General features: G+C 37.5%; 1 protein-coding gene across 7 annotated transcripts in view; it reads right to left on the bottom strand.

Annotated features, from left to right (window-relative positions):
• GRM7 (glutamate metabotropic receptor 7) overlaps positions 1 to 26,892 on the bottom strand; it is an 880,419-nt gene that overhangs the window by 314,916 nt on the left and 538,611 nt on the right. For all 7 annotated transcript variants that reach the window (XR_001740135.3, NM_181874.3, NM_000844.4 and 4 more), the window contains exon 5: positions 11,455 to 11,595. Coding sequence is in view for 6 of the 7 variants with exons in the window: in NM_181874.3 (NP_870989.1) it covers positions 11,455 to 11,595 (141 nt within the window). In the remaining variant the exon portion in view is untranslated. The remainder of the gene's footprint in view (positions 1 to 11,454; positions 11,596 to 26,892) is intronic.

Raw genomic sequence — 26,892 nt, 5'->3', positions numbered from 1 at the left:
GAAGGTGGCAGAGCAGACAGTAAAGAACCTGCCCTAGATCGTGATGGGAGCTTCAGTGGAGACTCCCTTAAAGAGGTGACACTGAGATGTGAAGAGTGAGTGATTGTCAAAAGTTGTATTGGGGGAAAAAAAAAATCCAGGCAGAGAAACAGCATATACAAAGGCCCTGTGGCAAGAAAAATGCAGACACCTCTAGAGAACTAGAACATCAGAGTCCCAGGAGTATGAGATAGGGCCTTGCTACCAGGTGCCCTACAGACCATGCTGAGGTTTTAGTCTTGTAGAAACCTGACCAACATAGAGAAACCCTGTCTCTACTAAAAATACAAAATTAGCAGGGCGTGGTGGCGCATGCCTGTAATCCCAGCTACTCGGGAGGCTGAGGCAAGAGAATCACTTGAACCCGGGAGACAGAGGTTGTGGTGAGCCGAGATCGCACCATTGCATTCCAGCCTGGGAAACAAGAGCAAAACTCCATCTCAAAAAAAAAAGAAAAAGAAAAAGAAAGAAAGAAAGAAAGAACGTATGATATGGCCACTGAAATGTCTTAAATGTTGAGGAATTAGTTTTACATGTTAAAAATAGCACCAATCTATACTTTTAGTGCCTCTTAAAGCTCAGTAACACTTATTTGGCAATCTCAAAACTCATCCAAGGAAAGAAAGAATCTATTGATATATACTCGGTGCTGGAAGCGTGATTTATAGTCATGTTAACAGCCACACAGGCAGACATTAGAAGTCCAATAACTACTTGTCATAGTGATTTCTGTACACTTCAGCACAAAAGGAGAACCATTTCAGCTTGGTTCTTGGCATCTTTTTCTTTGTATTCTTTTTTGTATTTTTTTAAATTTAATTTTAAAATGTAACTATTTATTATAAACTTGACCAGAACCTGTGTGTAACCATTGCATTTTTTCTCTAATAAAAAAGCAATAGCATCTTGTAATCCAACATTTTCCTTCCATAGTAAATTGCCCACTTCTGCCAGTGTGTTGGACCACTTTGGTAGCTCAATTTACAACTGCTACTCCAAAAGTCCTTTGAGTTTCTTAAAGGTATTATTTTGTACCACCTTGGTTTCACACTATTTCAGTCTCCACCATCTGCTTTAACAAGGCTGCCGACTTGTGTTTGGCCTACCCTAAATGGACAGAAGGTCCCAAGCAAATGAGATATATTCAGAGAGAATTTTATAGTCAGGGCTACAATTCCCTCTTGTGTAACTATGCTGCCTCTGAACAAGGAGTTTGAGCTCTGTCTTTTCTCTTTGTACAGACTGCTAGCTTTTTATCATTATAACAAAGTTTGAACATAAACTGGAAAATACTGCCCTATTTTAATTTCAAGAAAGGAGAAAAGAAACAAGGTCAGCTCACTTCTCCACTACAGCTGTTTATCAGTGCGGACCAAAAGGGATCAATCCAGGATCATTATCAAACATGTTCTACTACGAGCCCTTATGTGCCTGGGTGTCACAGACTGAGGAAATTGCTATAGAAGCAAAACTACGAAGTTACCGAAAAATGAGAAAGTATCTATTTGTGTTCAGTTTTCCAAGGGTCTTGGGAGGCAACTAGGCATGAGAGGAGAAACAGCATAGGGAGAAATAAGCTCTATGTACCATTGGGTTGATCCATCTGAACCACAATTTCATCACGTGTATAATGGAAATAATAACCTCTCATGGACAGTCAGGGCTGTTGTGATCATCTCTGCTGACTACACATTCCTGGAAAAATTGTCTACTGTTATTTTCTAGCTCAGCGTCTTACTTGTTTCTTTCACAGCACTAATCACAACTTGTAATTATTTTCCATATCTGCTTTTGGTTTTCTTTCTGCCTCCTGTACTGGAATAAAAGCTCCCTGAAAGCAAAGACCTTGCCTGTGTTCTCTGGCTCAGCACAGAAACTGGCCCAGTGCAGCTCACTTGTCATTCACTTGTTGAGTAATTAAATGAGTGACAGAGTACATGATTAAATGAGTGTATGTACTTAGTTGTTGAGATTATTAAATTTTTCTCGTTGGTAGCTATACTCTCAGAGAAGTCACAAAGTGTCTCCAAGGTTCTGGTCTTTTGTATTAACCTGTAAAAACAGGGCATTACTTACCCTGACTATCTCACAAGGCTGATATGGGGATCAACTAGAATAACGTAAACACATACAAGTTTTTGTTATGTGCCTAGCATGATATAAGGCAACAGGTATTTAAGGTAAAGGAAGAATAATGCTTTATATGAAAATAAAGGAAAGATGGGCTACTTAAGTCATGGAGGAGCCCTGACTTTTCTTTTTTCTTTTTCCTTTTTTTTTTGGTTTTAAACGAAGGCCAAAAGTAGGATCAATCACCACTATCAACAAAGACAACCACAACAATGGCACCTAAACCGGTTGAGCGCCCTCTATCCCTACCAGGTATTGCTCTATTTAATTCTTGTGAATGAGCCCATATAGTAGGGACTGTTGTTATCCCTCCTTTACAGATGAGGGGATGGGAAAGGCCGTTGGGAATGTCTGAGTAACTTGCCCATGGTGACACAGTAACAGAAACAGCTGGGATTCAAACCCAGGGAATCTGACTCAAGTCTTAACTTCTTTTATGAACAAATTAGTGAGACTGAAGCAGGCAGCTTGAATATTGTGTTTCTACAGCAGTGAGGCTGTACTTAAAGCCAGCACCCAGCTTTCAGTGCCCAGGATGGTAAACAATAAATACTATTTAAAGATGAGAATGAAAAAATTAGCAGCCTCCATATGTGTTCGCCCACATACCTGGATCTCCTCTTCACAGAATCAGGGGGACAAAGTTAGAATAGCTCTAGAAAGTTTTTATCTGGAGATATATATATAGTTGATATTTATTTTGTGATCACATTTTATTCTGTAGAAAAATAAATATGATGCTATACATCCCATAAAAACCTAAAATGCTTTTTGTATCCATATTTCTCTTTGGTGGGTGGGGGTGGGGGGCAGAAAGCCTCTATTACTAGAAACTCTTCTAAGGAAGGCTATATTCTACTGTAACTTGCTTGATGATACTTGATAAGTCATTCCACAACCCTTTCTTCTACCTACTAAAATGACTCTAAGCATCCGATTTATAATACTTCTATTGCTTATAAGGGCACTTTGTTTACGAGAATTGTTGCTGAGAAGATGCATATGAATTAATTTCCCTAGTTCAGGAATTCCTTCTCATTAACAGGCAAGCCTGACAGACTTTCTGAATATGGAAAGGCCATAACTCCCAATTTTAAAGACGTTGCCTGTTGGAGTTAATGAGAAAGAAATGACACACAGCTCAAATAATTATGGCTTCTAGCATTTATGGAAAGAGCTTTGCCTGAATACTCCCGGGATTTCAAGTTGGTGTTTCACTGTTTGGCTTGCTTCTGCACAGAATTAAACACAGTTGCTATGGGTGACTTAAAGTGCTGTATGGTAGGAAAAAAACTGAGGGAGTGTGCTCTGAATTAAAATGGCATTCAGTAGAGACCCCTTTTTATGCTTTGAAGAGTTGGTGGCTGAAGGAAAAATTTATTTACTGCAGGGTCCATCTATACACCTCTATTTCATAAGGCTGAAGATATTCAGCCTCCACTTGGGCATCTGGTCAAGATTTGGGAAAATGAGGTTTGTGAGTAAAATCAAAGATCTGGGTTGCCATCCATCTACTTTGCTTGTACTTCGGTTAGTGTCATATGGTAATATTCTAACATATTAATATATCAACAAATGTGCCTTTTATTTCCTCTCCACCATTTATTTTCTAACCATGGTAGTTTCAGAACTCTTCTTCATTGCTTTTGGGAAGGATGGTTATAATAAAACACAGAAGAACAATGGAAGTAAAAAAGAAAATAATAATAATAAATAAAGGACTGACCTTTGTGTTCTAAAAGCCAGTGTTATATGGTCAGTACTTGGCTCTGTGCTTCAAAAATACTGAAGTATTAAGGACATGAAACATATGCCATATACAAAAAATAATGGAAGGATATGAATGGATCTAAATTAGTCTCCTCGCCCAGCCTGTAATCAAGACATTCAGGAGTGACAGATGAGAAGGGAGAAACTAACGGGATATGTAAAAGTTAAATGCTGGTATAAGCTCCTGAAGAGCTCCTAGGCTCTGCAGAGCCGGTCAGTACAGTTGCCACTAGGCACATGTGGCTGTTTACGTTTTAAATAATTTTAAAAGTCAGCTCCTTAGTTGCATTAGTCATGTTTCAAATGCTCAGTAGTCAGAAAATAAAATATGTCCGTCATTGTAAAAGGTTCCATTGGTCAACGCTGGTCTAAAGCAAGGGATCATTTGTTTATTGTCCATTTGTTTACATATATTGTGGTTGCCTTGTGTTATGGGAACAGAGTAGTTGTGTCAGAAACAGCCTGACCCATAATGCCTAAAATATTTACTACCTGCCCTTGAGAGGAAAAGTTCACTGCCCTGATCTAAAGGGATAGAACACTGAGCAAAAGTTTACTGCTATGGCCCTGTTTTTTGAGTGTTTGAGGCAAGGTCTCACTCTGTCACCTAGGCTAGAGTGCAGTGGCATGATCACAGCTCACTGCAGCCTCAACTACCTGGGCTCAAGTGATCCTCCCACCTCAGCCTCCCAATGTAAGCAGCTGGGACCACAGATGTGTGTCACCACTTCTGGCTATTTTTTTTTTTTTTTTTTTTTTTTTACTGTTTGTAGAGACAGGGTCTTGCTATGTTGCCTGGGATTTGGCCCTATTTTTTAAAAATACAGTATTAAAAATGTATTTTACTCCTTTAAAACAAAAACGAAAACAAAAAACTGAAGAGCTCCTAGGCTCTAGAACCTCCAGCAACCATGGTCACAGGAAGGACCTGGAGTCATCAAAACCACAGTTGTACCTGGAGAAGCCCTGAGGTCAGGACCAAGAGTCCATGCTGCAGTAGCCTTCACATCTTCACTACTAAGGGCAGGAATGGACAAGGTGCATTCCTGAAGATGGATTCATGGCTAGTGAAAAATCATGCACGCCGAAGGATCAGAGCAAAGCCTCACAAATAATTTTCAAGTCCTGGGCTTTAAAAAAAAATCTCTTTGTAACTAAGGTCCAGGCCTGTGGACCATGTGGGATAAGGGGTTTTAAAAAGATTGAATTTCTACAAAACAATAGGATGGAGATTTGAAAAACAAAGTGAAGTTATAGAAAACAACCAAAAGTTCATTTTTTTGCACTAGCAATTTTATGATCTGAGATTTGTACCTATTACAATACACAACCATACAGAAGGCTATGCTAATTATTGCCCTCAGAATCAAGCATTGCCTAATCATCTTGCTTATCTTCTGTCAGATTTATCCAGTGGAATAATTGGCAATTAACATAGGTGGCGCTATGCTTCCCTTGAAAAGAGGTTAAATTTTTGTTCTTAAATGCCTTTACAAAATTTATTGATTTTTAAATAATACAAGAAGATAAACTTTCATATTTAAGTGACTTAAAAGCAAACCCATAGAGTTAGCATGACACTTACTATGATTTAATGTTACACTAAAGTCTATTTTTAACAATTACACATGAAAAACTGAAGTCTAGAAATATAATTACCTTTTATGGGCATGGCATTTTTATTCAATACCTTACATTCCAAAAAGGATTTAAAGAGGTGTCCCAAAAACAATGAGGATTTTAGATGTGACATTCAGACCATTTTAACTTGAAGAATCCTATATTAATTGGTATTCCATGTATCTAAATGTTATTAGCAAACTTACCCAAACAGTTGCTAGAGAATGCCTTACTAAATCCTCAAAGTTATATACCTTAGCCTTTCTGTAAGGATTTAGTATTTAACATTCATTTTTAAATAAATGAATTAATTAACCAGCAAAGATTCTTAATAATTTGATACATTTCCAGTTCCCACAATTAGAAACAAGCCATTTATAGAGGTAGGTAGGGGAAGATTTAAGGGTGATGGAAGCAAGAGAGATGTCAACCAAGACTCCGATATTTAGAGATGAGTCAGAGAACCAAAAATTTAACAAAGAACCACATTAACACATAATCCTATGCATGCTCACAGAGATGAAATCATCATTAATCTGTGGCAAGCCTCTGTTTAAGAAAGCACAAAGGTGTAAAAATGCATTTGACATTGCTTCTCATCAAAACGGTTTCAAAAAAAGTCTTAGAGTACCAAAGAGTTAGACACTATTTATCTATAACATTTTGTTGTGGATTCCTCAATCATGTTAAGTAAATTAGGTGCTGCAATAAAACATCTTTGTGACAATTAAAGGTCAATTCAGAATAGAATAATAAAATGACAGTGAGTATAAAAAAACTAATCAGTATAATCATCAATTATTTCTGCACATATATTCTGAGCACTTGACTTTAAGCGTAATTCCTTTGTCTTGACAGTCTTGTTAACGAATTATATAGGCTCTAATGAGCCTGGGTCCTGGTAAAAATAAAAGACTTAAGAAATACATGGTTTATTCATTAACAGCGTTTATCAACAGGCTTTTTGTTAGCTCCACTGAAAAGAGGACTTAAACTATTAGCTCTGAGAAGTGAGGTGTAAAGAAAAACACAGCTTAAGAATTCTGACCTTCCAAAATGTAGACATTTATCAGAGTACGCTCTTTAGCCCTTGATATCTTTCCACAGTAAACAGGGGCTGATTAGGGACACAAATCAAAACTGAATTTGCTTATTGTGTGACTTGAAAGCACTAGCAATGAAATATGAAGGCTTGTTACAAAAAATATATGTCACCAATTTATTCATCTTCTGTCATCGCGAAAGAAAAACAAATCTCTGAATGTTAAATTGTCCCATCATCAGATGATGGATTTGTAAATGCTGAGTTCCTGCTTTTCAGCAAGGAGGTAACTCTAATGAATCAGTATTCACCAAGTGGTATTTCATAGAACAGTGATATTAGTTAGACAAATGTTCTGGGTAAGTCACGAGTTATGACTGATAAGCCATAAGATGTTGCCCAGTCATAGGCAAACATATTCAGGTTCTCAGAACCTCCTTCTGAGTTTAAAAAATGCATTTGGGAGCTAAGATATTTGATGCTATTAGACATGTAAGGATACAGCTTCTCGGAAGAAGATGAGCAAATGTTGGGATATGAGATGTTGAGTGTTACACTCTTGGGGATGCCATTAGCTATGTAAGGACACAGCTCCTCAGGAGAAAATGAGAAAACTTTGGGATATGATGCTCTCTATAATGCACAGTGTGTGTCCAAATGTCACTGGGCCTTGGATACACACTCTGTGTCCAAATGTCATTGGGCCTTGGACACACACTCTGTGTTAAAGCACCGAAATTTCTTAAGCCTTGCGCTTCATGTTTCACTCATAGCATAACATTGCATGACGCCTGTCTGCAAACTCTTTGATACTCAATATATCACCCTATATAGTGTGCACCCCAGTAAAAATTCTTGTCTATACTTACGTACTTGTTTTCTGATTGGAGTTGATATACATCCTGATCTCTAAGGACTGACACAGACAAAAAGATCTTCATGAATTCCTCACAGGCCACTGAATTCAGCCCAGAAGAGCAGAAAATTTCCATTGTTAGCTACGACTATGTGCTAGTAAAATTTCAGACCCTTTATTTAAATTAACTGATTTAATCCACTCAACAATTTTGAATGTAAGGTTTTACTATTCTCACTTCAAAAATAAGAAATGGCTTTGAGAGGTTAAAAACATGTTATCCAAGCTCTCACAGGCATGTGTGGTTATGGATGTCCTTAGAACAGAAGCTTAGATCTTTTTGATTCCAAAACCAATGGTTTCTTAACCACTGTGGTATAATGTTCCTGACCCCAAGATGGCCTCAATCTCTTTTTGCAGAGATGTCACTTCATTTGTGTAATGTTCCTTCTTTCATTGACCCTTAGTATCTCCATTGAAACATATTATTCCCAAAGAGGTCATACTCTAAACTGGTCTTTGTGCCAGCAGCATCCTGGCAAGTCTCAAGGGTGAACACACTCAGCTGGTGGGCTGTGGGTAGGGGAACATAAATACAACGCAGAAAAAAATCACATCTGATCTTTCTGCCTGCAAATGAAAATGGTATGTGGTAAACTCTCTAGAAGAGATGACTATGTGTATATCTAGCATTGTCTCCATGAGAAAACATAGCTCTTCTATGAAGCAGCATGAATGGCATTAATCCTGTCAAATGGAAGTTGTGTTTTCTGTGATAGCTTGGACAACCACATACTTGCTGAACTGCATTTCACGCTGAGTGATTACACCCAATATATCCCATGAGCAGGATGGCTCACTGCGAATGCCTGATCTATATCAACGGTTATTAGGCTACTCTGAAGGAAGGTAAGAGGAAGAATGTCTAGCTCTCAGATTGTCACATCTTGGGATTTGGTATCAAGGAAAGTGGAAATGTTCTTGAAATACTAAAGAATGCGGTAAGATCCCTTTCTTTAAGACTTTAGGTGGACATGGATAATTTACAGAAATAAAGATTACATAGTTGTTCAGGTCATTTTCTATAAGAATTCATGCACATCTAGCCCCAAGTAAAATTATGAAGTATGAACAGCTTATCTCATGTTTCTTAATGAATATTTTTCAATAATTATTATTCCTCTCATGACTTTGCATTTTCTTGTGATTTTAGAACTCATTGCTATACTCTGACCTCAGTAATTTGCTCTCTCCAAATAGTATGGGTCTCATCCCTCATCTTTAAAACTTGTCAAATGGCTGATTCAGTGTTGGTCTACTTGCAGCTAATATATAACAAATATTGTTTAGTATGGCTAAGGAGGCTACCCAGCCCAAAAGAAAAAAAAATGGCCTACATTTTAATTTGTGCTCACATCTTAAGAGTGAATGTTATATTAATAAGACTTCCTTTTTCTTTAGCAGAGCCAAGTCACAGAGAGAGCTCTGTGAAGGGGGCTATGTTCTACAGTCCTCAGATAAAAACATTCATTGTATTCACAGCGCAGATCTTCAGTGTCAGACTACTCAGCTAGCCTGCTCATCTGGGTGCCCTTTCTAACATGCCTGTTCTAGTGTTTTAAAATCTAGTCACCAAAGCATGCAACCAGGTTACCTTTCCCACTGATTCTTCACTTCCAAATTGAAGTATACTTACATGTAAAGATTTTTTAAATAGTATTTTTTGGAATACTATCAAAGAAAGATGTACATATGGTTGGATTTGGAAAAAGGAAGGACAAGGAAAACAAACAAAATATGACCACCATATCAATAGGTGGAAGAGTAAGAGATACGGTAATGGTAACAGTATCTACCTCCATTCCATATGGTACAGCTCATCACAAAGAAAGTGATGAGGAAGGAAAAAGGAAGGTGAGAATATACGAATATTTTGGGTACACTTATAATTTAGTGAATGTGATTATAAATATTCACATGGAAGAAACATATTAGTTAGGAAGACACAAACACTTCTATTTCCATTTTTGTAAGGTAGAGGCTTGCATAATGACCTTACTAGTTTGTATAAGCCCAAATTCTCAATGATCAGCCTGAAGCATGGCTCCACATAAAACAGCCTGTGTTTAAGCTCATAGAAGTCAGAGGTGTGGCCTCAGAGTGGGACAATCCTAACGTCCATCAACCGATTCCACCTTCCAGACACTCTACAGAACACAAAATGTCAGAAAGAACCCAGGAAAACTGTCTTCAATCATCTACATACTTCCGGTGCACTTGAATGTACCCTGTCATAGAGACAAATTATCCAGATGTCAAGCTAATTTTTTTCAGTTTCCACTTGAAAGCTTTGTGTCGCCTAGGTCTAGTCAATATTAAATTAATATTTTCCCTTTTCCCCCACTATTCTAGGGACCATATCTCAGAACTATTGTTATATAGCATGATCTGGAGAATGTGGTGAATCCGATAGTCCAGTTGACTGAATGATACCTTTAATATATGCATCATACTTATTTTATATCATTATTGTTATTCATGTTTCTGGTCATATGTTGTACATTTCTCCTTTTTCACAGAAAACTTCTTGAGACTACATTTAAGCACCCCCAAAGACTTCATGGTGTTCCTGATACCATGTATTACCTGATTAACAGATGATGGTTGAGTGGATTAATCTACAACATGTGGGTGACCGGTATTCAAACAGCTACATTACAAAGAGAGACTAGAGGCAGAACTGTGTCCCACATGAATGTGTCTTTCTTGATCATATATAAAACATTTAGCCTTATTACATTAGTATACCTGAAGGTCATCACTACAAATTGTAAAGGCTGATGTTTAAAGAGGTCTAGTTGATAAGATGGTAGATCATGTCATCCGCTTGTGTAACACCCTTCCATGGTTACCACTGCTCTTAGGATAAAAGCCAAGTCCCACGTACATCCTAAAATGACTTAGTTCTGGACCATCTCTCTACACCTGCAGCCTTGGCTCACACATTCTCTCTGTTCTGTGTACTTCAGTCATGTTTTTTCTGTTTTTCACAACCTCAGAAACACAAAAACTCCTCCTACTGCAAGCCATTTACCGTGTTTAATCAGAATTCTCCAACCTATTTTCCTTCCCTAACCAGCCAATGTCCATTTCTTCATTTTATCTTGACTCAAGCATCATTCTCCCAAAAGGGTCTTTTGAGACAGCTTCTACCTTCAACATTAGTAAACTTCCTTAGTTATATGCCCTCATAACACTCAGAACATGGATTACAGTTTGTAATTATGAATTCGTTCGTGAGATCACTGGAATAAAGTCAAATTCCTTCCACCAGACTCTGGGCAACATAGAGGGAGGATTCTCACTTAGTTTGCTCACCACCAGATCCCCAGTGCCTAGCACAGTGCATAGCAGAAAGGAGTCACTCAGTAAATATTTGTGAGTGAATAAATGAATGAATGTGTGATTTTTCTTCTCACTTATTCACAGATATTTTTCATTTACAAGGTTACATATAAGGAGCCGTGAATATTTTAAATAATAGGTAACTCATTAACTTAGACATTAATGAAAATCATTTGGATTTTCATTATTCTAAACCCAATCACTCTGTTTCCTTAATCAAGTATACTGTCCATGGTAACAGTTAAATCCGACAATGGCATGGGATTTGTCAGAGAATTTTGTCTATGTGAAAATGACTTCATACTCCTGGCTGGAACTGAACAAGAGGATTCAAAGCAACATGACCCCTTCTGAATTCAAAGAATCACTGAAAATGTCAATTACTGCTAGATAGGCAGAAAAGAATACATTCTTGTCTGTATGTCTTTTGTCCTGCAAGACGTATGCTCCTGTTCCATTTTCTGAACAATCTAGTAAAATTTAATTTACTTTTTCAATTTGTCTCCAGCCAAGCTTCCTTCTGTCAGCTATGCAGACATGTCAGTGCTAGCCACGTAGAGTAATAGGAGAAGGACAACGAGAATTAAATTACCTGTGCATTTGCGATCTGTGTCTTCTTTTTTTGACCCACTAATCGTCAACTTGCAGTTGAAGTTTTCCTCCCAGTATTCGGCAAACCATACATTTCTTCTGTTGTTTTCAAGTGTACGGGACGTAAAGTAGGCATCAAACCCTAAACAGAGTTAAATGAAAAGGTCATTGCTTGCGGGGCACTGCTGGCACATTCAGAAATAAAAATAAAAGTGACTTTTTTTTTCTTTGTTTCAGTGAATTGGATCCTCTTGTGTGTCGACCGAAAAAAAAAAAAATTAACAGAAGGAGGAAAAATATTCTAATTGCATTAATCCATGACTAAATTCCTAGTTCAATCTGACAGGTAGGTAGTTACTAGCATAATTTCCATTTGTAGGTGAGAAAACAGAGTTATAAGAAATAGTAACATGCCTAAGGTCAACCATTATGCCACATTCTGCATCCCTAACCATGTCAGCTCCTGATCCATGAATATTATTTTAAGAACCTCCTTTCACTTAGCAATATCCCATTATGTAATTGACTTTCTAGTCAAATTAGAAGGAAAAGTTTTTGAAGAGGTTGTAGGTGAACTGAGTCCAATATAAACCTCAATCCAATGTATAAAGAGTGTCCAGATGAGCAGGGACGAGGACGCCAGGAACTCTCTAGCTTCCTCTTTAGGACAGTGTGACTTTAAATGTTCGTATGGGGTCATAAGATCTTGCAAGAGAGTCAGAGTGGAAAAAGATACGGGATTCAGTGTCCCAAGGCCTAGGCTCAAATCCCAAATCTATGAATCTCACTCAGTCATGGAACCATGAGCAGGTACATACTTAACCTATACGATTTTCTTTCAATCCACCTGCAACAATGAAGACTACACCATCTCCTTCCCCCACAGTATCTTGTTTGTGGCAATGGAAAAACTTTGGAAACTTATAAAGTTGAGTTCTATGATCAAGAACCATAGGAGAAAAAATGGACTTACTTCCCAAATACTTAAATTATTCAAAGTTTTCCCTTACCTGTAAGGCCATAAAAATGGAATAATCATTACAATTACAAAAATAAGAAGTATTTTATGTACATTTTCTCATAAAATGTCACATCAACCAAAGGAAGTAGGTAGTCTCAGATCCATACTCTAAAGTTAAAAATGAAGGCTTAGAGAAGAATTTGGACCTACATCTGCCTAATTCCAGACCCTGGTTTCTGACACCCATCCTATAGGGCAGTGAGTTTCACATTTTGGTGGGAATTGCATCATTTGGAGAGTTGATAAAGAATACAGAGTCCAGCTCATTGAGGTAGGCAGTATCTGAGTCTTATTATTATTATTATTTTCAAGTTCCCTAGCAGATTGTCTTAGTCACCAACAGTCAACAACTACTGCTATGAAGCTCTTCCATGGCCCACTTACCAAGCCATTTCCTCTCTTTCTCTACTAGACGCTCCATCACCAACTTACTGTATCAGCTATTGATTCCACAGGGCAACTGGGTGGTTCGACAGGTAGAAGAGCAAAACAATCATGTGTTCAGGTATTGGAATGGATAAGTCAATCAAAACGGTAAAACCCACTACACAGTCTGATAGTCCTGAGCCAAAGCCAGTTTCAAAAATGGAGCTCCTCTCAGACAATTCAAAGCAGCAGAAGCAGAGGTCAAATGGATATTATTCCATTTAGTTACTTCTTGCTGACTTGCCTCCTCTTAGCTGAGTCAGATTCTTTCAGGATCTAAGAGTCTGTTTATTCTTATAGCTAGGGCAAAAAATAAATTAAGTCTTGAAGTTTGCCTCTATTCAATTTCGCTCACAAGGAATAAAATTGTCCACGAGAGACTTAAGTTTTTAAGAGAGATCTTGTTGTAGCCATGTATTTACAATGCCTTGGAATATACTTGGCAGCTCTCTGGGTTAGGCACACACTATAGCTCTTCTTTATTAATGGCTATGGAGCTTCTGATACAGAATGGTTTAAAGTTTTCCCTCTGGCTGAAGTCATCAAGCCGTCACTCTTGGTCTGTCATTGTAGTTCCTGCAACCTAAAGATTCTACCTATCTTGTTTTAGGAATAGGCTGTCCAATACAAGACATACAGTTACCAAGGTGGAACAGAGGGAAAGTCAGGGGTAGAAGCAGAAATTAGAATAACTCTATTAATATAATTATGTGTGTGTGTGTGTGTGTGTGTCATAGTGAATTGAGGTTTTTTTCTAAACTTTCTACTAGAGCCAAGAAGAAAAGTAATCTGAACACATATAGCATTACTATTAGTTAAATTGTCAGGTATTTAAATATAAACCAAGGCACCAAGGCCAGAGTTTTGGTTCGCTGGAAACAGAATCAGAGTCATGTTAAAGGAAAAAGATCATTCTTTTATAAGGGGCAGATGGTATTTTTATTATGAAATTGTTCCTTTTATTAGACAGATAAATTTAATTTCAAAAATTAATCTCCAGGTGCTTCTGAAGCAAATGCCCCATTGGTTACATGTTGAGCAATATTCCTGTAATCTTGAAAGCAAACTTAGAACAACATAGAGAAAATGAAATGGACTTTAGCTGGTGTGAAGACCACACCAATCTGGTTCTTTCCTCTTTTAACTGGGTTGCTGCCCTCAAACACCCCTTGAAATTGGTGGCTGAGACAAGAGACTGCAAAACAAGAGAAACATTATTATCCCAGGCGTCTCATTTGGGAAGTGACCTTTCCAGGTGAGAGAGAGTAAAAGCTCTTGCAAGTGTGTGGTATGAAGGGAAACCTATCAGAATGTCAAGAGGGGGTCAGAGGACACAGCTGTCTGCTCTGCCAGGATAATGGGAGCTAACAGATATTGATGGCGCTTCCTGTGGCAACCAGAAAGTGACCAGGAGTCCTGATGGCTGCCTTCTCAACACTAGTCATGTATTGGAGATTAGAACATCTCTGTTGGCCGAGGTGCCAGGGGGCACCCAAGGCTTCATTTCAACCAGCCTATAAACAGAGGGTCTGCTTCCTTCTTAGTAAGAATGGCCCAATGATTCAGAAAAATAAAGCTCCTGGCACATCATAGGCATATGACACTAACAGAATCAGTGAATGAAGCAATTAATAAAAAGAACAAAAGGAAATGACAAGAGGGAGAGAGGGAGAGAGAGAGAGAGGAGAGAGGAGAGAGCAAAAAGAGAAAAGGGAAAAGAGGTGATGTTGGGAAGGGGAGGGGAGGGGAGAGAAGAGAGAAGAGAGAGGCATTGATTAGGGTGAGAAACAGGAATTCCCTGTTGCTGAGAGTGCAAATAAGTACAAAAATTTTAAAAAATAGGCCAGCATTATCTACTAACATTGCTAATATGCATTCTTCAAAAACCAGCCATTCTACTGCTAGGTACATGCACTAGAGAAAGTTTACACACATGTACCACAATATACATTCAAGAATGTGTAGTGTGGTAATACCTGTAATAACTACAATCTGAAACAACCCAAATGCCTATGAAATACACAGAAAAAAATGCTGTTCACAAAAACATGTATGAATCTCATAACAAATGTGCAAACCAGAAAATAAAGAATGCATTCGGTATCATTTATGTCACATAAAGTTCAAAATTGGGCAGAAATAAGCCACATTGTTTAATGAGGCAGTCATATGTGGTTCAACTACAAAGAAAAACATTGAAATTATTACAGTAAAAGTAGGATATTCTAAAAAAAATTAGATTATTTCTGGTGGTACAAGAGAGGAGACAGACATATGGTGGACAGAAACAGAGTGTTGGGGCATCTATCCTTCTGCTAGTATTCTTGATTGGGTGGTAATGTTATAACTATTTTTAAACCCTACATAGTTGTGTCATGCCCTTTTATATTTCTATAATATAACCTATGGCAGTGGTTTAAATTTGGCTCTTAAAAAATGTCCATGTCCTAACCCCCTAAACTTGTGAATTATTTGGAAAATATATTAATATTGTATTGCAATAAGTTACATCACAAATAAAATTAATTTAGGGATCTCTTGACAGGATGATCCTGGATTATTCGTGAGGGCTGTAAATCCAATGACAAGAGTCCTTATAAGATACATACAGAAGAGAGACACACAGGAGAAGGCGAGAAGGAGATGTGAAGAAGAACACAGATGGGGTATTGCAGCCACAAGCCTAGGAATGCTTGGAACCAGCAGAACCTGGAAGAAACAGGAAAGGCTACTCCGCCTAGAGCCTTCAGAGGGCAGTGGCACCAGCTGAAACCTTGACTTTGGATTTCTGGCCCCCAGAACCGTAAGAGAATAAATTTCTGTTGTTTTAAAGCACCAAATTTGTAGCCATTTTTTATGTTATCCTTAGGAAAGGAATACACCTTAGTAAATAAAAAATCCTGTTGTGGTATATACCTTACTAGCTTCTCTTTGGTCCAAATGATAACATTGTTCTCAGATGTCACAAAGTGGTGGCTTGTAGGGCATATTTAACATATAGACTTGTCTTGTCCTTTCTCTTTTGCCACAAAATGTGCGTGTGTGTGTGTGTGTGTGTGTGGTGGTGGTGGTTTTGTGTGTATGTGTGTATTTGTGTGTGTGTGTGTGTGTGTGTGTGTATATATATATATATATTTTGTTTTTTTGAGACAGGGTCTTTCTCTGTCCCCAGGCTGGAGTGCAGTGGCTCAAACATGGCACAATGCAGCCTCAACCCACCAGGCTCAAGTGATCCTCCCACCTCAGCCTCCTGGGTAGCTGGGACCACAGGTGGGCACCACCATGCCTGGATAATTTTTGTATTTTTTTTGTAGAGATAGGATCTCACCATGTTTCACAGGCTAGTCTCAAACCCTTGGGTTCAAACAATCCACCTGCTTCGGCCTCCCAAAGTGTTGGGATTACAGGCGTGAGCCACCATGCCCAGCCCCAAAATACTTTTAAAATCAGCTTCAAAGCCAGAAGATTTTACTTGAAAGTCCAGATTTCTAGTTTTGCTTATTAAGTTAGAAGATCTAGTAACACCGAACCCCAACTCCATGTGTTCACAAAATAGATATTCCTTTTAGGTAGGCCTGAGCTCTTCAGCTTACAGTATTTCCTCACCACCCGACTGCCTTTAACCTAGGCTACATTTCTCATTTTTGAGCTGTATGTGGTTGTCAGGGTGGACACAAGCTTCCCACCACTGAGAAATGCATCTCTCTCATGTGCTGTTGAGGCAATTTGAGGAATCTAAAAACTTCACTGAAATGAGAAATACTATTTCAGGCCTCTAAGAATATATCCTTGAAAAAGCAACTAAAAACAGGGAAGTTGGCCAGGCACAGTGGCTCACGCCTGTAATCCCAGCAGTTTGGGAGGCTGAGGTGGGCAGATCACAAGGTCAGGAGATCGAGACCATCCTGGCCAACATGGTGAAACCCTACCTCTACTAAAAATACAAAAAATTCGCCGGGCGTGGTGGCATGTGCCTGTAGTCCCAGCTACTTGGGAGGCTGAGGCAGGAGAACTGCTTGAACCCAGGAGGCAGAGGTTGCAGTGAGCCAAGATCCCGCCACTGTACTCCAGCCTGGGCGACAGAGCGGGACTCCATCTCAAAAACAAAACAAAACAAAACAAAACAAAACAAAACAAAACAAACACAAAACAGAGAAGTTGGGAAAGCAGCAGGATATAAAATTTACACAGAGAGATCATCCATCTTTATATACACAAACAATAACCACTTAGAGACACAGTGAAAAAGAGCACAATTAAAATAGCTACCCCCCACCCCCCAAAAAAAGAGAGAGAACATCTATCCAAGAACAAGTGATATCTTTCCATTTATCAGGGCTTTTGTCTTTCAGGAAAAGTTGAAGCTTTCACTTATGTCAATTCCGTTCAAGTTAATTTATAGATTTTGTGTGATCTCAATAAAAATACAAACTTTTCTTGCCTAGAGATAGACAAGTTGCTTTTAAAGTTCATACAGAAAAATATCAGAACCAAGAGAATGCTGAAAAAGAAGAGCAAGTATACCTGAGTGTTTGGTAGTTTGGGGGAAGGAAGTGAAAAAAACGAGAGCAAGCTCCAGGTTTTAAATTCAGATTTTAAATTCACTATTATTGAAAAACAGTAGTCTTGGCACATAAATAAACAGATCAATTTATCATTGGAACAGAACAGAAAGTCCAGAACTAGACCCAATTGCACATGAGAATTTAATGTAGTGGAGAATAAAGGTAGTATTTCAAATCACTAGCAAAACAATGCGTTTTAATAATTGTCTAATAAACAGCAACCAGTTGGATATTTGGAAAATGATCAAGTTGAATCTTAGTTAGGAATTTAACATATAATCCCACAAGAAATATGAGGAAGCACTGCATGGATTCAACCACAGCAAGTGCATTTGGGTTTTCTGTCTGCAAAATGGGGAATTTTGCATGGTTGTAGGAACTAGCTGTCCTGCACCCTCGACTCTATGCCATGTGCTGCGCTCTCAGGACATGTTCCGCAGGTAGCCCCGCTAGCATTTGCGCAGTGTTACAGGTGTCAGTTTCTTGTCTGCCTCTCTTGAGAATCTTTGAGGTCCTGGAGGCCAGGGACTCAGTTCTCCTTCCCCATTCCAGTTCCTATCAATATTAACTGATGTAAATTGAAGTTAAAGACATGTAAATCGGCTTGGCTAGATCATTATTGATCTAATGAGAGGAGTCTAGGCTCTCAGATGCACCCACAAATTATTTGGTGTGTCTATTGATGAGAGAGGTGGAAACCAGCCATTATTTTTGAGAAAACAAATAAGAATTATTGCAACGAAAATTATTCCACAAAGAACAAAAATCTCACGGGAAGTGTTTATGGATGAGGTAGAGGAAATAATGTCTGCAATGTTATTGCACAAAATGTCTCCAAAGGGCTGTTGCATATTATATAACACCAGAGTGCCTGTCATTTTTTATCCCTTTAAACTGCTTGGGAAACAGAAGGGCATTTATGTAATCCGAATATACTTATATGGGAATAAATATAGATATAAACAATACATATTAAATTGATAGTTTAACGGCTAAAAGCAGACTCTGAAACTAGAATTGTAGGGTTCAATTCCTAGCTTCGACACTTACTAGCTAGATGACCTTGAGCAAATGAGCTAACCGGTCGAAGTTTCTCAATTGATAAAATGGGGACGATGATAATATAGACTTCATAGGATTGTTCTAACTATCGGATGTGCTAATATATGTAGTTTTTAGAACAGTGTCCAGCATGTAAGTGTGTAAATGTAAGCTAACTTAATAGAAAATTATCTCAGACACACATATAAGGTGAGGAAAAGAGAGAACAATAACAAAAAATTTAAGAAACTTTGTACTTTAACACTAGGAACTATGCATGAAAAGCCTCGCTTTGCAGTCAGATAGACCTGAATTTGAATCCTGCCTCTGCCAACTACTGGCTATGTTATTTAACTTGACTTATGCTAAGTCTATCACTTACATTTCTGCCACTTTTGTTTTGCTATCAAACTATACTTTTTAATTTGCTTATTATTTCATTCATTCATTCATTTCTTCACATATTCCAAATGCGACTTAAAGCGGCACCTACTTTTCCTCATCTATAAATTAAGGATAGTAGGATACCTTACAGATGATTTTTAAAATTTTCAGTATGAAGGATAAACCAACATTTTAAAATGGTTCAGTAAATGCAGGTTCCTTTCCTTTTGTTAAGGTAAGCAGTTTTAATATCAGTTCGAGGCACTGTAAAGTAACAACCCTCTACCCTTGAAAGCCTCTTATCATTTTCCTATGCTATGTGCAGTCATGTGAGCTTAATGGCCCACATACATATTGTTTTGAGGCTGCTCAAGATGCACAAGGTCAGTAGAATGAAACATAAAATGACCATCCCTCTAGAGGATGATTTAGGAGGTGAGACTTGAAGAGGCATCTACCTGGAGGCCACAGGCTGCTTCCACAGGGCGTGGAACGGGTGATAAATAAGCGCACAGTGGAGGCTCCTGCTATCCTTCCTTCTACCCTACCTCATGGCAATGCCAACTTGAACCCCTGCCTTAGTGATTAAATGTTCTGTGCAGAAATGTGGTAAGGGTTTTACTCAAGAGCACTGGTCCCTCACAGGTATTACAACATTACTTCCAGGCTTGGGTTTTTATTGTTGTTGGTAGAATTTCTTGCCTTTCTAATCTCTTGCCTTTCTACCCTTCCTCCTTCCACACTATGCTGTATTAATGACATCCCATATTTTTATATCTTTTTTCCCTCTACTAACAGTGAGTGTAATTGTCACACTAAATTGTGCAATCTTGACTGCAATACATATTGGCACTTGCCAACCTATATCCAAAGCTATAAAAAATGTGCAAATTTTTTGATCTAGCAACATGTTTCAAGGTATTTATCCTAATGGAAAAAGGATATGCATTTTTGAAAAGGCATTTAAAGCACTAGGTGATTTTAAAAATTATTAGTTTTACCAGATATGTGAATAGCAATGTGAGATGCATTCTAAAATATTTTAGTTAAGAAGACATAATGTCTCAGCTTTGATTTAAAATGCCCCATCACAACAAAAATTCAGGAGAGAAAGTTAAAGCCTGATAGCAAAATATTGATAATGTTTGAAACTGGGTTTTCAATTCATTTGATTTGATTGTATCATTCTATTTTTATGTATGTTTAATAATTTTTATGATTTTTTTTTGAGACAGAGTCTTGCTCTGTTGCCCAGGCTGGAGTGCAGTGGTGTGATCTCGGCTCACTGCAAGCTCCGTCCCCCGGGTTCACGCCATTCTCCTGCCTCAGCCTCTGGAGTAGCTGGGATTACAGGCGCCCGCCACTATGCCTGGCTAATTTTTTGTATTTTTAGTAGAGACGGGGTTGCACCTTGTTAGCCAGGATGGTCTCCATCTCCTGACCTCGTGATCCACCCACCTCAGCCTCCCAAAGTGCTGGGATTACAGGCATGAGCCACCACGCCCGGCCGATAGATTCTTTTAAAAGTAGTTATTAAAGATAATCATTTGAGCACTATCTAGAACAATGAAAATGTAAAACCACTGCAAATGTCCCCAAAACACATGATTAAATACATGTGTTGAAGTAGTATGCAGCCATCAGACTACAGAAAGTATTCAGAAGTGTATTCTAGGAGCCAAAAAAATGTGTGTTTTTATGTTATATTTTAAAAGTTAAAAATACTTTGATAGTATTACCATTATATATATAATATTACATATATAATATTCACTACATTATCTAATATCAATGTCAATAGTAACAATGAATGTCAGTGTCAATAGTAATAACACACTGTTGACATATTAGATGATGTGATAACCTACTGTTGATATTAGATGATGTGATGAATAGATGATGAGTGATATTTTATTTTTAGCTCATTCACGTTTTTTAATTCCTTATACATCTATAAAGCAAAACACAGACACATGCCACATAAAACAAAAAATATGTATATAAAATATTATCTCTCCAAAATAAATGCTCATTCAATAGAATATTCAGTCTTTTGCAAATAGTAAAATTTTGTACAAGAGCCGTTCTCCAAGATAAGTTAATTCCTATTTCTAAACACACCTAATTTTTACAAATGTAATCTATAAATCTATTATTTATAACTATCCGAAGTAGGTATAGTAAATATACTCATGTCACCGCTCCCTACAACCATAGCAGACATCAATAATCAATTTTGAATCTTCCCAACACAAAGAGATGATACATGTTTGAGTGGATGAATATGCTAATTACTGATTGATCACTACATATAATGTGTATCAAAATATCACTATGTACCCCAAAATATGTACAAGTATTATGTGTCAATTATAAAAATAAATAAAATAATAATCAATCATAATACTCAGTCTTAACAAACCTGGTCTCCAGCCTCTTTCTAGCTTGGTGCTTTAAAAAGCTAATATTCTTCTGACTTTTTAAAACATACAACTTATATACTATCCTTGATATGACATATTTTCAAGAAATTATTCCTGAAAATTTACTGTATATAAAGTGGTATTCTCAGATAGAAACATTTAAATTAATTAATAGTAACAAAATCTCCCACTGTGTAGGTGACTACTATGCCCAGAGCTTTGGTTTAAGTGTTTTGCATGGATTTTAGCTACTGAACATAAATGTACTGTTCTCTGGTTCTCATAGAAGTTCCGGTTCAATATGCTCTCTTGGAAGACACCAAAGAAAAACACATGGTGCTTTAGCTTGATATAATATGTTCAGTATCTTCATAAAAGAAATATGGTAGGTGTTAGAGATTGTCTATCAAGAAAACCAAGACCAATAGGGTGTATTGCAAACATTTTTTATTGATTATATATAGAGTGTCTTTGGCTTAATCTTGTTTGCATTATTATTATTTTTTTTTTTTATGTAGGACTCAAAAGAGTTCAGAACTTTCTATGATCTCCAACTGGACCAACAAGATGCTTCCTGTTGGAAGAGATGGACAAGATCTTAAAGGGACAGTATCTGGAACACACAGTTGTTATTTCCCTATGCTAAATTCCAGGGAGCACACATCTTGGTATTGTGCTCCTGCTGCCAACCATGGCTGAACACTTACCGTAGGATTGGTAGATTCCAAGGCATTATATTTTTAAACTCCTTTTTATAAAAGCCAGGCCTCAAAGGATCAGTCATCCACCAGAATTTCTTTTCTCTGTTCCCTGAACTCCAATATGTCATCTTAATTTCTATTTCTTTCTCAACTTCCAGGAAGAAGCCTGATGGTTAGTTCTCAGAAAGGCTGTCAGCCTAATTAACTAGCTGGGGAAGACCATGGGAAATCTAAACCAATCACCAAGAATCTACCAGGGAATTCCCAAGTGAGATCTGCCTTTCTTAGAAGACAGCCTTTAGATTACAAGAGGAGTGCTTGCCAAGACCTGATGCCTACCTACAAATGCTCCTCTCCAGGAGAGTGCTGTAACAATCCACAACTACTGATTTGTATAGAGCCCCTCTTTCTAGGAAGTTATCCCTGACATAGAGGAAGTATATGCAGAATACTTATGTTTACAACAGTTTACACCCTGGTCTACACACTGGAATTAAGTATAGAATTTTTTAAATTACGTTTGCTTGGACTCCAAACCAGACCAGCTGAATCAAAGATTCTACTGTTGGGCCTGAGCATCCATGTTTTTAGCTTCCCAGGTGATTCAGATATGCTGTCAGGGTTAAGAATATCTACTCTATACGATTGTGCAATTTCATCGCTCATATATCCATTTTACAGCCCTGGACGAGCTATCCAAGGAGTACCAGAAACATGAGAGACAAGGTCCCCTTAATTTGAGCATATCTATCTATCTATCTATCTATCTATCCATCCATCCACACACACATATTCTTATATATATACATATATTCACATATATACACATGTATATTCTTATATATACAAATATATTCACATATATACACAGATATTCTCATCTATACATTCTTTTGTGTATATATACACATATATATGTGTGTATATATATGTAAAAATGTGTGTGTATGTACATATATATATATATATATATATATATATCAGAATTACTCAGATAATATCACATGTTCACGTCTTTGGAAACATCAAATAACGGACGTACATTTGCCATAGTTGACCGAATCTTGTTGCCATTCTTTGAATGTCATCATTTATTGTATGAAAGCTTTCCAAGATTTAATGAGTAATATTCTGCTACATAGAGATTATACATATGATTATTTCAGCTTGATGTCATCCTAATGAATGTAGGGTGAAATTTATGTTTCCACAGATCGTGGATATTGTATCTATTACAATACATACAATTATACATTTATAATATATAATTTTTTTAGAAATGTCTAAGCAAGTTTTTTTAGGAATTATAGCAAATTATCATAATCACTTTCATGTGTATATAACTGTCCAAGAATCATAATCTTACAGAATAATGTATTTAGCACATATCAATTATTAATCAATTCAGCAAATGGCACCTACCCATTTCTCCAGGCAATGACAGAAAGAAAGCCAGACAAACTTGTCAGAAAATTATTGTGCATTGTAGAAGCTTCACGTTTTATTTTTAATAACTATAGAAGAACCATGTTGCCTGGTTACCATCTTCATTTTGTACTCTGGTCTAAAAATGTCTCAGCAGCCAGAAGTTTTCAGTGAGCTCAACATCTAAACTTATATAATCAAACATCTATAACAATTCAAAAGGAATTTTACCAAAATGATATTTCATTTTCTTCCTAATCACAGATTCAGCCACCACCTAATGATTGAGGGGAAAAGAAAGCAACCTTTTGAAGGAAAGACTTTTCATATGCAAGTCTGAGAGGGGAAAAAGAATCTTAAAAAAAAAAAAAAAGGAAAACAACACTCAAAGAAAATAATACCAGTGTCCCGAATGCATGACCACTTAGTATTTGAATTCCTATGAAAATATAAATCAAAAGAAGAAATGTTTTGGACACCTAGAGAAGCTTAAATTAATATTTACAATATTTTTCAATTTCACATCAAAGGTCACTTTTATATGCAGGTATTTTCAGGTTTGAGAAGAACTGTCCAACGTTCTAAAACATGCTATTTTGATGTATGTTATTTCTCCATGTCTTTCTGGCATATTAAGACATCATATGTGCAGAAGTGTAAAAATGAGAATAGATGGCTCGTAAACAAATGTCTTCATGCAGGATCAAGTTCAAGCAGCAAACTCAGATTATATTCATTCTCTCACCACCTGAGTTACTAAGATATTCCTGAGAGGGAGACATTGCATTAGGTGCAGTAATAGGAAAGGTGAATTGTCCTCACCTCTGACCTCTTACACTTTTAGACAACTACATCTTGTTTTCTAGGAAATCACTTCCACATTTATAGGTTTGTAATGGTTACCAACTGACTGGGTTGGCAGTGAGCACGTAACCTTATCTGTGCCAACCAGATTCTCTTCCTTGGTAACCTGAAACTGGGAATAACCAATTCCTGTCAACCAGGACTGCTCACTTTATAGAAGAGATGTAAACTCAGGAGTTGCTGATAGCAGCCACATAGGCTGAGAAGTAGAAAAATTCAGTTTGCCTGGGGAGATGAGTCAATTAGAGTCCTAGAAAAAAAAGACATGGAGGGAGAAAAGAGTCTTACATTTTTAACAATGTTCAAGTACCTGATTCCAATCTATTTCTAAGGCCTTGATATATTCCTTGCTCTTGGATTCTATAGGACATCCATTTATTCTTATAATAAATCAACACCCCTCCTTTTTTACCTTAGGCAAATCCCAGTGTTTGTCTGTCATTGGCAACTGTAAGGGTCATAACTAATATTGACGTGGGGATAAGTCAGATATGGATCCTGTTCTCAAGGAGATGGCCAAGAAGTAGGACATACACATATAATTTTCACAGAAAGGGAAGAGATTCAGAAGTTAGAGAGATGCAATGATGGAAGTTTCACATTAAGAAGCAAACATTCCTGACTCTGAATAAGGTGAGTTCAAAAAGTTTTTGGAGGCAGTGATATTCAGTATATTTGGAAATGTTTAAAATGATGACTAATGCTTTATTTTTTTTTCAAAGTTTTTTCTAGGTAATTGGTGTTGCAGAAATATAACTTCAATCTGCCGCCAGATTGGTTCAGACACAGAAATCATTGCTTTTATCTCAATGTGGAGTGCTATTAGTAGGAGTACTTCATGCTCTGTATTTTAGAGAGAGCAATGGGATGAACTTGGTATTCAAGCCATATGGCAACATTATAAATATGGTCTTGCCTTGGACATGATGTTTCCAACAACAAAACGTGGTCAACACTGTTTGCACTACAGCCCTACTGACAACTTTCTGCTCCTCTAAGGAGCAGGCAGCACTCTGAGTGCCAGATGAGAGTTTTATGACAGTTACTGGCAGGGCCTGTGCTTGCTACCTGGGTCAGCGACAGTATCGAAAGAAAATGCAATCTCATTTTAGTCACCAGGGATTGCTTCTTCGTCATATACATTTAGAGTGTGTCTTGGATGAAATCAGAAAATGGCATAATAGAGCAATTAATTATAGCAGAAATTAATTAAAGCAAAAGGCCCCATGGTAGAGAGATTCTGAAAGTATGTAATATACAACTTCTGCTCCAAGACACTTTCAATGTTTGAGGGTAGATAAGAAAATAAAAACAATACCAATGATTCCAGCTAATGCTTACTAAAAAAAAAATTTAAATGATTATACTGGGCTAAGAATGATATATTATTTCAATTCTCACAAACATCCTAGGAGTTAACCATTATTATTATCCACATTTGGTGAATGTGCACACTGAAACTCATACAGAATAAGTAATTTGCCCAAAGGCTCATAGCTAAAAAGCAGAATCTGAATACAGTCTACCTGATTCCAAATGGTAAACCACAATACAAGAAGAAATAACGAAGCCATCTAAAAACTCAAAGATAGCCTATGAAAGTTACAGGATTTCAGAGATGAAGAAAAATGCCAGGATAGAATGATACACATTTATGCCATGGAAGAGCTGTGATTTGAGTTCAGCCTAGAAAATGCAGAGCTCATACAGATAGGAAGGACTGGAGAGAGTGGAGAATTACAGCAAGCACAAAGGGTGAGGTGGTTGTATCACTTGTGTTTCCAGGTGATGAATAGACTGATTTGACTACAATGGGTGTTTGATGTACAGAACATCTTTATAGAAAGGTATAATGGAGCCAGATTGTAGAGGGTCTGCCGTATAAAGAGTCAGGATGTTATCTCACAGGCATTGTGAAGTCATTGAGGGTTGGTTCTTAGAATGCATACTGTGATAATAGCTGCATTTGAGGAAGAATATACTAGCAGAATGGGGAGGAAGATTCCTATTTGTTGAGTGACATTGCTATAGAAGTATTCATGTATGAAGCTTTTCATAATCCTTACAACACTTGGAAATGTAAAACTACCATGTCCATGCTTAGATGAATGAACTGAGGTTCTGCCAGGGAAGATGCCTGTCTCAGGTTCACCAGATGGGAAAGATGGACACAATATTTTGTCCTAGTCTGTTTACTTCAAAGCCTATATTCTTAACAATTCAATGTGAAAAACAAAAGTAGTAAAGAGATGTTGCAAATATTGAGCCTTAACGATTTCTAGGTTCTAAGTAACCTTCATGTAATAACTTATGTAAACCTTCTAATACCTCTGAGGTAGGTACTTGTCTTCGTGCGTTTTTGTGTTGCTGTAAAGGAATACCTGAGGCTGCGCAAGTGATAAAGAAAAAAGGCTTATTTGGCTCATGGTTCTTCAGCCTGTACAAAAAGCACGGCTCACAGCATTTGCTTCTGGTGATGGCTTCAGTCTGCTTCTACTCACAGCAGGAAGGGACGGGGAGCTGGTATGCAGAGATTACAAGTGGTGGGGAGGAGGAGTGGAAAGATGCCTAGTTCTTTTTAACAACTCA

The sequence above is a fragment of the Homo sapiens genome, chromosome 3 (assembly GCF_000001405.40).
Source record: "Homo sapiens chromosome 3, GRCh38.p14 Primary Assembly".
NCBI lineage: Eukaryota > Metazoa > Chordata > Mammalia > Primates > Hominidae > Homo > Homo sapiens.
The sequence above is the reverse complement of the archived record's forward strand: the minus strand, read 5'-3'. Positions and strand labels throughout refer to the sequence as shown.